Consider the following 12,901-nt stretch of genomic DNA (forward strand, 5'->3'; position numbering starts at 1 on the left):
TCTTATTAATAAAGGAACTAATTAGTAGCTCATGGCATGGTGCAGCATAAACATAAGGAGACACCTAACAGGCTCACTAATCTAGGGGTAAATCGCATCCTGTGGGAGGCAAGAAAATGCAAAAATCATAGAATGACTGCATCTTCACTCAAGAGAAAAAATGGATTTCCCCTCTGTCAATCCCAGGGTGCCAGATTGAAACTCCCCAACCCCTTCAAAGATAAATGTCTTAAAATGCTTGATTATTTCATTATTAGAGATTTTCCCTCTGGATGCTGCAGTTTTTGTTTTTATTTTTTCAATGGAAGAGTTATACTTTAGCACTTATGAGAAATCTTTATTTTAATCACTGGAGAGTGGTCATTTAGAATTGTTTCCGTGGCCGGGTGGGGTGATTCACACCTGTAGTCCCAGCACTTTGGGAGACCGAGGTGGGCAGGTCACTTAAGGTCAGGAGTTTAAGACCAGCCTGGCTAACATGGTGAAACCCCTTCTCTACTAAAAATACAAAAATTAGCCAGGTGTGGTGGTGTACACCTGTAATCCCAGCTACTGGAGAGGCTGAGGCAGGAGAATCACTTGAACCTGGGAGATGGATGTTGCAGTGAGCTGAGATCATGGCACTGCACTCCAGCCTGGGTGACACAGCGAGACTCCATCTCAAGAAAAAAACAAAACAAGAATTGTTTCCCCTTGGAGTTCTGCGTGATGGGATTTGAGCTGTATCAGTTGTCTCAGTGTTTTCCTTGCAATATTTCTGAGGAACGTAACAAACCTTCCTAGTAGCCTACAGTGTGTTCTCCCTCCATCATATCCAGTCGCCAGACTCGGCCATCCCACATCCCAGTCCCTAGTGCCACTTAGGACTGCAGGTTACCAGCACTTTTCTTAGCTGGCGTGCTGACTTCCAGGATTCTTGCCCACCTCATTTCCTACTGCTCCATCAATTCTCTGTACTCTGCTCTGTGAGACTGTCCTCAAATCCAAATGGGATTCTGTTGTTTCCAATCCCTTAAACATGTCTGTAAATTCCTCCACAACATCGTCTCCACTCCCTGCCACCTTCTTGGTCCTGACCTTTCCTTCATTCTAGGCATTTGCTTATTCAGGATCCTCTTTCACGAACACTGTCCCTGAGAGCACTCCCAATTGCCTGCACCTGTATAGTCCCTGTTTGTAAAGCTTCTGCTTAGATGCTGCTTCCTCCAAGTTACCTTCCTAGACCTGGAAAATCTGAGTGTCCCTGGTACCTTTACCCCCCTCCTCCTAGAGCACTAACTGCACTATATTTCATTGTCTTTTTGCTTTTCTGCCATCCTCTGAAGTCTGCAAATATCACTATTTTATTCCCAGGGCCTAGCACACTGCCTAGCTCAGAGTAGTCACTGAATGTAGGCTTGTTGAATGAGCAAATGAATGAATGAGTGAATAAGAACAGGCATAGAAAATACACAATGGTGCTTTGAGCAGAGCTTCTATTTTTGAAGAGATTACAGTCTGCTTTACTTTCTGTTTATTGGATGATTATGTGGAATAATAAAAAGAGTAACTTTTTAATTAGACCTGGCTTTACAATTTGCCAGCCCTGTCAATTTGAGCAATTTATCCAATCTTCCTGAATCTCAAAATATAAATCAGTACAGGGATAAAAGATGTCCTCCTGGTGGGGTTCTTGTGAGCACTAAGGTAAGCAATGTTAAACATGTGCCATAATAGGCGCTCAAAGATGCTGGCTCCTCTCCTCTCCAACGCACAGCTCTGCTTCCACTTAACTCACACCCTTGCTCACCAAGTCAGTGAGCTTGAGATGCTCCTCCATCATTTATGTGACCATGAGCCTACATAATTTTAAAAATCATATGAAGAAAAAATTAAGATAATTTATATTTATTAAAAACAATGTACATGCATATAATATATTAAAATTACTTGTATATATCAATAACTTATAAATGTTTAAAGCATTGTATGTCAAATATCCTATCCTACTGAACAGGTTAAGTAAACTTAAAATTAGATTTCAAGTCCAGGTGTGGTGGCTCATGCCTGTAATCTCAGCATTTTGGAAGGCCAAGGTGTGTGGACCACCTGAGGTCAGGAGTTCAAGACCAGCTTGGCCAACATGGTGAAACCCCATCTCTACTGAAATTACAAAAATTAGCCGGGTGTGGTGGCACGCGCCTGTAATCCCAGCTACTCGAGAAATGGAGGCAGGAGAATCGCTTGAACCTGGGAGGTGGAGGTTGCAGTGAGCTGAGATTATGCCATTGCACTCCAGCCTGGGCAACAGAGTAAGACTTGGTCCCTACCCCGCCTCCCCCTCACCAAAAAAAAAGATTTCAATAGGCAGAGCTAGGTTCTATGATGTAGGGTTCAAATTTTAGGCTGCTACTTAATTTTACAGTGCATTATTTTAAATATCATTGCAACTAAAAAATACTCTTACAATTTTATATTTTCAATGGAAATAAAATATATAAATTGGAGTTGTATTTTTATACATGGTAACTAATGATATAAATTTTAGTCTACATTTTTTCTCTAAATAATGATAGTAACTATCTGCTTTATTTCACTATGTAATGAATTAAGAGACGTGCAGAAAAAAAGATAGAACTTCTTCATTACTATTATTTTTCCAGTGAAAGTATATACCCTAAACCAGGACACAACAGAGTGTACTGAGATAGCTTTATTTCCACAAAATTTACCGCCCAATGGCTAGTTGTGCATGCTTTTCTCACCGGCTGGATTGTGGCTAATCATGGCCAAGTGTTTTGATGCTGTTGGTTTGGCTCTTAAATGAAACTGGATCCTGACAACAAAGTTCAAGAATTATTGTCGGCTTCTCTGCATAACTTAGAAGCATCTCCAAAGGCATATGTACTATTGCCCTGGCAGACATATATACACGAGTGCAGTGTAACACCTCTATTCTCCATGCTTGGCAAGTTAATGTGGATGTTCATTTTTATAGCCGCTAACTTATTAGCTGTGGATTACGTTGTCACTTTGTGTGTTACATTTCCAAGCATAAGAAGTGTGAGTGAGTTCTAAGACATGTGAAATGAAGGATCAGCTCGCAAAAGCTGGTCTTGAAGGCAACAGAGAGTAGGGATAAAGACTTCATCATGCAGTTCATAGAGCCTGCCAATTTCTTGATTGACAGCTCTCTGTATGGCAAGTCTTGAGGGATTGGGTATTTAAATCTTAATTACAAAAAAGTGTTACAGAATACTAAAAATCATTCAAGGAAACTGGAAAGCTTATAGCGTAGCATTCCTCTATTAATCTCTTATACAGAGTAGATTTGATTGACAAGATCCATACAAATAGTGTAAAGGAATTTAGAAAATCAGTACAAAACTGAAGGGAAAATTTAAAACTATGTGCCATAAACGTGTCCTATTTTATAAATTAAATTGCTCCACAATCATGTATGCAAAAATAAAACAGATTAAAACATACTTTGTTTTAAGATGTAATTCTAGCTGGCCTAATAACTAAAATCTCATTAATAAGACTTAAACAAATAAAATTACAATATAAACAGCTGCTTTGCTTAGAAAAAAAAATCACAAGAACTTAATAAAGAAAAAAAGACTTTGATTTCAACAGATAGAAATAAACCAACTACAAGGAAAAGTCATTATAATAAAATTGAGCAACATTCAAGGACACATCCTTGCATATCCATGTCATTCTTTTGCTAATTCATTAACTTAATTTGTTAACTCAACAGACACTAATTAAGAGACCTTAATTTAGGAGACCTAAAGTAAGAGTCCAAGCCATTGCCAAGTGCAGAGAATAGGGAGATAACAATGTCAGGGTCATAGTCCAGTGGAAAAATACTCATGAAAACAGGTCATAGCAATAGAATGTCATTGAAGTATGAGTTAAAAGTCTGGATACTTTTTTTCTCTCACATCCCTGTATCCAGTCTCCATCCTTCTCACCTTTGTGCTTTTCCTCGGGGAGGCTGATTTATATGACTGTATCAGTGGGTTCTTGTATTAGTCAGAGTTCTCTAGAGAAATAGAACCAATAGGATATGCAGTTGACCCCTGAATGCGGGGATTAGGGGCACTGACTCTCTGTACCGTCAAAAATCCATGTATAACTTTTGACTCCCCAAAACCTTAACTAATAGCCTACTGTTGACTGGAAGACTTAACATAAACAGTCAATTAACACATGTTGTGTATTATATGTATTATATACTGTATTCTTATGATAAAGTAAGCCAGAGAAATGGAAATGTTATTAAGAAAATCGTAAGGAAGAGAAAACGGACTTACTATTCATTAAGTGGAAGTGGATCATCATAAAGGTCTTCATCCTTGTTGCCTTCATGTTGAGTAGGCTGAAGAGGAAAAGGAAGAAGAAGAGCTGGTCTTGCTGTCTCAGAGGTGACAGAGGCAGAAGAAGAGGTGGAGGAGGTAGAAGAAAAGGCAGGAAGGCAGACAAACTCAGAGTAACTTTTACGGAAAAAACCAATGTATAATCTCTCTCTCTCTCATATATAAATATATGTGTGTGTGTGTATATATATATGTGTGTGTGTGTGTGTGTGTGTACATATATATATGCACACACATACACAAAGGCCTGAGAACTCTGAGAGTAAGTCCTAGTCCAAGTTCTGAAGACCTAAGAACCAGGAGTGCAATGGCCAAGGGCAAGAGAAGATGCAAGTCCCAGCTCAAGCAGAAAGCAGATTCTTCCTTCCTCTGCCTTTTTGTTCTAATGTGGCCATCAACAGACTGGATGATGCCCAGCTGCGTTGGTGAAGGTGACCTTTTCTATTCGGTTTGCTGATTCAAAGACTCATCGCCTCCAGAAACATTCTTATTCTGTTTCTGGTAAAACAGTGAGAAATAATGTTTTACCAGCTATGTGGGCCTCCTTTAGCCCGGTCAAGTTGACACATAAAATTAAACATCACGATTTCTTTGCCCTTTGGCTTCTAGTTGGGTTCAGCCAATGGGGACCCTGGTAGCAGATAAAAGGAAAGGAAAAGTGTGAGGTGGGATACTGAGTGTGTCCTCAGCTTCTTCCACAACCTATATCTGTTCCTCAGAAGTCACAATGCCTTTCTAGTAATGTCCTTCAACTACCCATTGGAACGTGCAGTGTGTTTCCTGCAAGGCTCTGAGTGATACATTGTGGGAGCATTAAATCCTGCAGGGATTCCAGAAAGACTTCACAGAGGAAGTAGCACTCGAGCTGGGTCCTTTTGGAGGAGTAGGAGTTCCTGAGGGCACAGGGGAGAAGCTCCCGGGGCTTGAGCAGAGGGCAAGTAGATGAAAGGAAGGAAAAAACTAAGATGATTTTGGGTGTGGATTGGAAGAGCTGTTTGGACTTACTATAAAGAATATATGCAATAGGGTATTTTGGTGAATTTTTAAGCAGAAGGTTACTGACAATAGTAAAAAGTGGTGTTTCTCAAATATAATTATTATGTTAACCCTTTCAATGAAAATATTTTTTGCAGACATTTTCAGGATTGACTTAAATTGTTTTTATTGTAATGTGTATCCTGTATGTGTCAGTTTTAACTAGTTATATATAAATTCATTTTCCTTATAATTTTTACACAACTGAAGAACCAAAATTAACTTACATAAAAGATAAAAACAAAACCACATAAACTCTAAAATCCAAATTAATGTTAACTTAATGCAAAGGATGATGTTTTGCTGAAATAAATGTGTGAAAAAATGATTGAGTTCATTATTCATAAAGGAGTTTAACATGCCTGTAATACCTTGTGTTTTAGGGTGATTCACTTCTTCCACGTCTTTTCACGGCTGTAACTTTTGTGTGTCTTCCATCTGTACAATGTGCTGTGATGTCATTTGACCTTCATTTAATTTATTGTCTCCCTCAAAAGTTAGCTGCTTAAACAACGACTATATTATGCTTATGGATTCTGTGAGTCAGGAATTCAGACTGAGTGTAGTGGGAATGGCTTGTCTTTGCTCCATGATATCTGGGGCTCAGCTGGGAAGACAGGTGCTTTGATCCTGACTGTCACTGGGGACCTCAGCTGCCACTGTTGCAGAAGCCTCTACACTTGCCTTTCCATGCAGCATCAGCTTCCTCAGCATCGTACCCTCAGGGTAGCCAGACTTGGCTCCCAAATGTCCCAGCTCACAAAGTAGAACTCGCCTCATGTCTTCCATCCTTGCTTCAGAAGTCACGGGATGTCACTTCTGCTGTATTCTACTGGTTACAGTGAGCCACAACTCAACCCAGATTTAGAGTGAGGGGGCATGGACTCCACCTCTCAGTTTCTTGATGAGAAAATGGTCAAACGCTTTTTTGCTACTTTTTAAAGCTATCATAGTCTGTGATAATTTATCTTGTTAGACACAAATACAGATTTAGGACACTAAAAAGCATCTTCTTTTTTGTAATGTGGTGACCATGTGAATGACCCAGATGCTTATACTTATTAACAGTATCATAGTTGATTTTTTCCTTAAACTTTAAAAATGGTAATTAAGACCGAAAGCTGAGGACAAATGTGGTGGTAAGTATTTCCCAGTTAAAAGGGCTCATCATTAGGCATTAAGTACACCATTTACGACATAAGAGGAACAAAATGACAGCTTTCTCCTTTCTCATGGAAGAGAGAGAACAATGAGGTCTGCATGGAGAAACATACCGTGCTTGTTACTCTGCAAACCTCACTGCATGGTCACATGACCAAGGTGGCACTCTGCCATCTGGACATCTATCTCCTTCACCAGCCAGTTGCAAACCACTCATTCTGGCCAAGGGCCAATATTGAACAGCACTTGCAAATCACTTCAAATCCCCTCAGTCTACCTCTTCAGCCACTGTCGTGGTGAACAGTTCCACACAGACTTAGCAGCTTCCCTCAGGTACCACTGGACAGCAGCTTTCCTTGAGACAGCTTTCCTCCCATGTGCCTCTTTCTTCCTGTCCCACACTTCTCAGGTGCCATGGCTTTGGGTTCCAGTGAGGACCAGCTTGGCACTCATGCATGCACAGCCTGGAGGTGTGGGGAAATGGATGCCTACAAAGCCATCTATGATGCAGGAGGTGGAAACTGATGAATCAATGCTTCCCCTTTTCATTACGTGGCAGCATTCTAAGATATATTTCAGAAGAATCCGGAAAAGGTCCTGTGGATTGAACATCAGTCACCCATAATGGCAGCCAGTTTGTAAACACATCCTTTGATTGATTCTCCCTTTTTCTTGTTTCACTCTCCCAGGTCCTAACCCCTGCACTCTGGACTCATTTCCCAGATAAACTACCCACATGCAAGCCTTTATTTCAGGGTCTTCTTTCTGAGATCCAGAGTACGCTAAAGTCCATGGAGCTGCTGGTGGGAATTCATATTATAGGTGCCCAAGGAACAGTGCTCCAACTCAAGGCCAGCAGTCAGGGGAAAGAGAGGGCACCAGGAAAGCTAGGCTGGGGCTCCTGTGACCTTAAGGCCCCAGTCTCTGTGTTCACCTGTATTGCATATCTGTCTGTTTCTGGCTGATGTGCTCATTAGTGGCATGGAAACTAGACAAGGCGGCTACTCTGTAAGGCATAAATGTGTTCTGTAAACTAGAACTTCAATATGATTTAAAATACTTAATGTGTGTGGTAATTCCCTTCCAAGGTGGACTCTAATGGTTCTTGTCTTCTCAAAGTCATGCCCTACAGTCCCCTTCCACAGTGGACAAGGCTCACTGGGTAATCAGTAGGATATTGCAGAAACAATATTGAGTGGTCTATTCAAGACTAGGTCATGAAGGATACTGTAGCCTCCACCTTGCTCTCTCGAATCCCTTGCTCTGGAAAAACCAGCTGCTAAATCACAAGAACATTCAAGAAACCCTGTGGAGATGTCCATGTGGCAAAAAACCAAGGCCTCCTGCCCACAGCCAGCAACAACCCACCAGCTGTGTTAGTTTCCTATTGCTACTATAATGAATTACCACAAACTCAGTGGCTTAAAACAGCACAAATTTATTATCTTACAGTTTTGGGGATCAGAAGTCTAAAATCAGTCTCACCAGGCTAGTCAAGGGGTTGGCAGGGCTTCTGGAGACTCTGAAGGGAGAATGTGTTTTCTTGCCTTTTTCAGCTGTTTGAGGCCACCTTCATTTCTTCCCTTGTATCACTCCAACCTTTTGCTTCTGCCTTCACATCTTCTACTACTCACCCTACTCCTCTTGCTTCCCTCTTAAAAGGATCCCCATGATTACATTGGGCCCACATGGATAGTCCAGGATAATCTTCCACCTCAATATCTTAATATAATCACACCTCAAGATCTTAATGTAATCACACCTGCAAAAACCCTTTTAACATATTAACAAATTTTGGGGATTAGGACAGGGACGTCTTTAGTGTGGCCGTTATTCAGTCTACCACACCAACTGTGAGAGTGAGCTACCTTGGAGGCAGACCTACCATCACCACCCAAGCCATCAGATGATCTGCAACCTCTGCTGACAACTGAACTGCAAAAATGCCCAGCTAAGCCATTCCTAAAGTCCTGATCCACAGAAACTTTGTGAGATGATACAAAGTTTGTATTATTTTGTTGTTTGTTATAATAGTTTGTTTAATTATTTTGTTTTTTATGATTGTCATAAGCCGTTAAATTGTGGGATGACTTGTTACCCAGCAATAGATAATACAAAATGGAAAAGTTTATTAATATTTAAAAGTCTATTTACATTTTCATAGGAAATTTTAATACTAGATTTATTAAGGAGGAAATGACTTTTAGATTCTTTAGATTCTCAGATTCTATATTATAATTTTAGCTGTTGGAAATATTTGATTAGTTGTAAATAAATGAATTTACATTTTTACCTACTTAAAAGAATAAAGTTTTTATTGATGCCAAATTCCGAAAAATATAAAAAGAGATTTAAAAATCTTATTCTGGGCCTGGCATAGTGGTTTACACCTGCAATCCCAGTGCTTTGGGACACCAAAGAGGGAGAATCCCTTAAGGCCAGGAGTTCAAGACCATTCTAGGAAACATAGTGAGACCCCATCCCCCCAAAAAATTTTTTGTTTAAAGTTAGCTAGGCATGGTGGTACATACCTGTAGTCCCAGGTATTCACAAGGCTGAGGTGGGAGGATTACTTGAGCTGGGGAGTTCAAGGCTGCAATGAGCTATGAGTGCACCTTTGCTCCCTAGCCTGGGCAACTGAGTGAGACTGTCTTAGAAAAAAAAAATAAAAATCTTATTCTGGGCTGATGGAGGGCAGTGAGCGAGAACAGGGAGTGACTGCTAATGACTATGGGTTTTCTTTTGGGAATGGTGAAAATGTCCTAAAATTAGATTGTGGTTAGGGCTACATAACTCTGTGTTATCAAACTCATATTAAAAACCACTAAATTGCACAATGGACAAATTATATGACATATGAATTATATCTCAACAAAGCTGTTAAAAAATCTTATTCAGGCATAACTAATCTGAAGTTAGAAGTCAGGATAATGGTTTCCCTGTGGAGGGGAGAAGTGACTAAGGAGGCACCACGTGGGCTCTGATGAGAGTTTTATTTTATTTTATTTATTTTATTTTTGAGACACAGTCTCGCTCTGTCACACAGGCTGGAGGCTGGAGTGCAGTGGCATGATCTCAGCTCCCTGGAACCTCCGCCTCCCAGGTTCAAGCGATTTTCATGCCTCAGCTTCCCAAGTAGCTGGGATTACAGGCACATGCCTCCATGCCCAGCTAGAGAGTTTTATAAAATATCTGGCTTCTGGCAACATGGATGTATTCATTCTGTGAAAATTATTAGGTACTTATACTTTGCCTCCTCTTCTGTATGATTATTATACTTCAATAAGTTTTACCTTTAAAAAATACACAAAAAAGCTGAAATGGCATTATGCAAATCCTAGTTCTCAGTGATGTGTATAGGAGTACATAATAATCATTGTTCTATCAAACAATGAAGGACATGCATAGAAATGAAAATTGTGACAAGAACGATGACCTTCAGAGTAGGTTTACTCACCATTCCTGTATGCACATTATTCTTTCCTTACAAAATAATTTATTTTTAAAACATGAGTATATTAATGTAGTATTTATAGAAACTTATCATTCTAATAGTTATTATTAGAAAAGCCATGTTTAGAAAGTACATGGAGGCACTTCATTTCAAAAATCTGATACAAAGATTCTGTTCAAAGAAGCAAGCTCCCTTCATTTCTTACTGAATATTTTGAAAAAATTTCATTTGGAAGTTTTACAAAAATTCAATATTTAGTATCCTTTCTCATGCATTGTATTATGTTTTATCATAATATAATGGCATAATATAAAAATAATGTAATAAATTTTGTACCAGTCCCCAGAAAACCTTTAGGTTCATTCATGATGTGCCCATGACTAATATCATTTTATATGTTTATGATATATTGAGAAATCTCTAGGACACAGTTTTCAAAATGTAGATGTCAAGAACTATGAAGTATCTGAGATTTAATCTTACTGCAAACTAGTAGGTCAGCCTGGCACAGTCACAGATGCTGGCAGAAGCCATGAGATTCCTGTACAGGGACAACAGTCTATTATTCACAACCATAGCAGTAGCCAGAGTACCATCAATTTTGCACTAAGTTCATGAAAGTACATTTCCCACATAGCAACATGAAAAGTATCAGGTGATATCTCCACATGCAATGGACTGTGTTATAGGAGAGGAACCCCAAGCTTTGGGAAACAGAATCTTTTATAACGGGTATTATAGTCTTTTTTTTAATAAACTTTGTCACGCAGGGAGACATTATCTTTATTTTTATTTGACAGTAAACAAACCCGCCCTTTGCTCTGGAGGTAAGCATTGTCTACATTCCCAAGGTTGTTCACTGTATAAACATCCTTGAAAAGATAGTCTCCATCAAAAACAGTGAGCGCCTATGCTGAAAGGAGTACAGAAACATGAGAGATTAATGGAGAATTGTCTCCCAACAGTTGCTGGGGAGTTCCAAAGGTCCCTGAGACCTTTACAAGGGGAACCTATTAGGCCAAAACTTTTATGATTATGCTAAAATATTATTTTCAGTTTTCACTTTCATTCTCTCATGAATTTACAGTGGAGATTTTTAGAGGCTTACATGAAATGAGATGATGGCTACGTTTTTAAAATTTCTGTTCTAATTGCTAACACAGTAGATCTCAATAGACATGGCACACATAAACAAAAGCTCTTTGAGATCTTCAGTATTTCTTAGGATGGCAAAGGAGTCCTGAGACCAAAAAGTTTGAGAACTGCTGCCTCAAGACAATCAACAAAGAGAGAAGACCTTGGAGTGCTGTTTGTATGAGACTCTCTGAGTAGGAAGGGGCCCCTGAGACAATTGTTTCCAGAGATTGAGGGTACTCCAAAGGGAAGAAGAAGGGGAGGTCAATATTTCTTTCCTGAGCACACGCCTGCTTATGTAGTTGATTGCTGAACTGCTACTATGCTAATCTGAGCAGAAAGAGCAGAAATTCGAAGAGAAATGACAGGGTGGTGTGAAGAGCCAACAATGCAATTGTGGGCACTCCTGCCCATTGGTGTGGGAAGGTTGCATGATTTTCCTGAGCCACTCAAATGCTTTATGCAATAATCAAGCTTCAGTCTTCTTGCCAGCACCCCTTTCCCAAAGGGCTGTCCTCTGGATGAAGCTGCAAGAGACTGTGGGTAGGTCACTGGGGAAAGGAGATGAGAGCCATGGACATTCTAGTAAATGCTAGTATATGTTTAACTGACTTTCCAAGAGAAAAAAAGAAAGTAAACCAGAGTTGTAATTTTTGCTAATTTCTGTAGTGTAAATTTTCTCACCGTGGTCGATTTCAAGCTACCAATGGATTAACAACCAGCTCACAAAATTCCTGAAAATTTAACAATTGGCTGATAGGAGCCAGCTTTAGTGTACAACTGGATAAAGAGATTGGAATAAGTGAAACCGGGACAGATATCCTATACCCAAAACAATGCGGTGAGTGGGTTCTCCCACAAGAACACACTGTGCCCCAAAGTGATTTTGCACTGTGTCCCCCTAAAGAGCTAGTGTCTGGACTGCTACCACATCAAGAAAGTGTAGCCCAAAGAGAACCATGTGACAGCACTTATTAAGCAGGACTCAATTATCCCTTTACATAACTCCTATTCCTCCACCCACCCAGTCACCTAGACAGTGGGGACATCAAAAGAAAGTGAGGACCACACCTTTTCTGTCCTTCAGGTTTCAGGCCATGGGTCAAGCAGCATGAGCTCTGGGCAGAGGAGGGAACTCTATGAGAATGATGTTTTAACTGGATTAAAATAAATTAGGCTGGAAGTAACCTAAAAGTAACTGATAAGGAAGGTTTATCCTAGCACAACTGAATGCAGCAAATTGGAGGAGAAAAAAAAAACGGTTTTAGGTTTGAACCTCTTCCCAGTTCAAACTGTTTGATAAACTAATTATGTGCATGTTTTATTGATTTTAAGTTCATCATTGAAATAAACACACGAACCAAAAAAAAAAAAAATCTCCTAGATAACAGAGAGAAAGACACTCTAAATAGACTGAAATGGAGAGGTAAGTTGTGGAAAAGAACTGTGGGACTGGCTGAGGCACGAGAGGCAGGTTCTTACTGTGTCCTGGGTCAGGTGCTATGGAGACAAATTTTCAGGCATGGCCATCAAAGTTTTGGTACTTTGGAATCAGGGAATCCCACTTTTCTAACATAGGCAATAAGTAATGTGAAGAGGCCAGCACACAGAGCAAAGGCTCAATATATGGTCTTCAGGGCCTTAATTGTTCCACTTATTATGTTTCTAAGATTTACCTGTACTCAGCTGTGTATAGCTGTAGTCCACTCATTTCCCTGATGTGTCCTCTATTGGGTGAATATATTACGATTAT

Source organism: Homo sapiens, chromosome 2 (genome assembly GCF_000001405.40).
Source record: "Homo sapiens chromosome 2, GRCh38.p14 Primary Assembly".
Taxonomy (NCBI): Eukaryota; Metazoa; Chordata; class Mammalia; order Primates; family Hominidae; genus Homo; species Homo sapiens.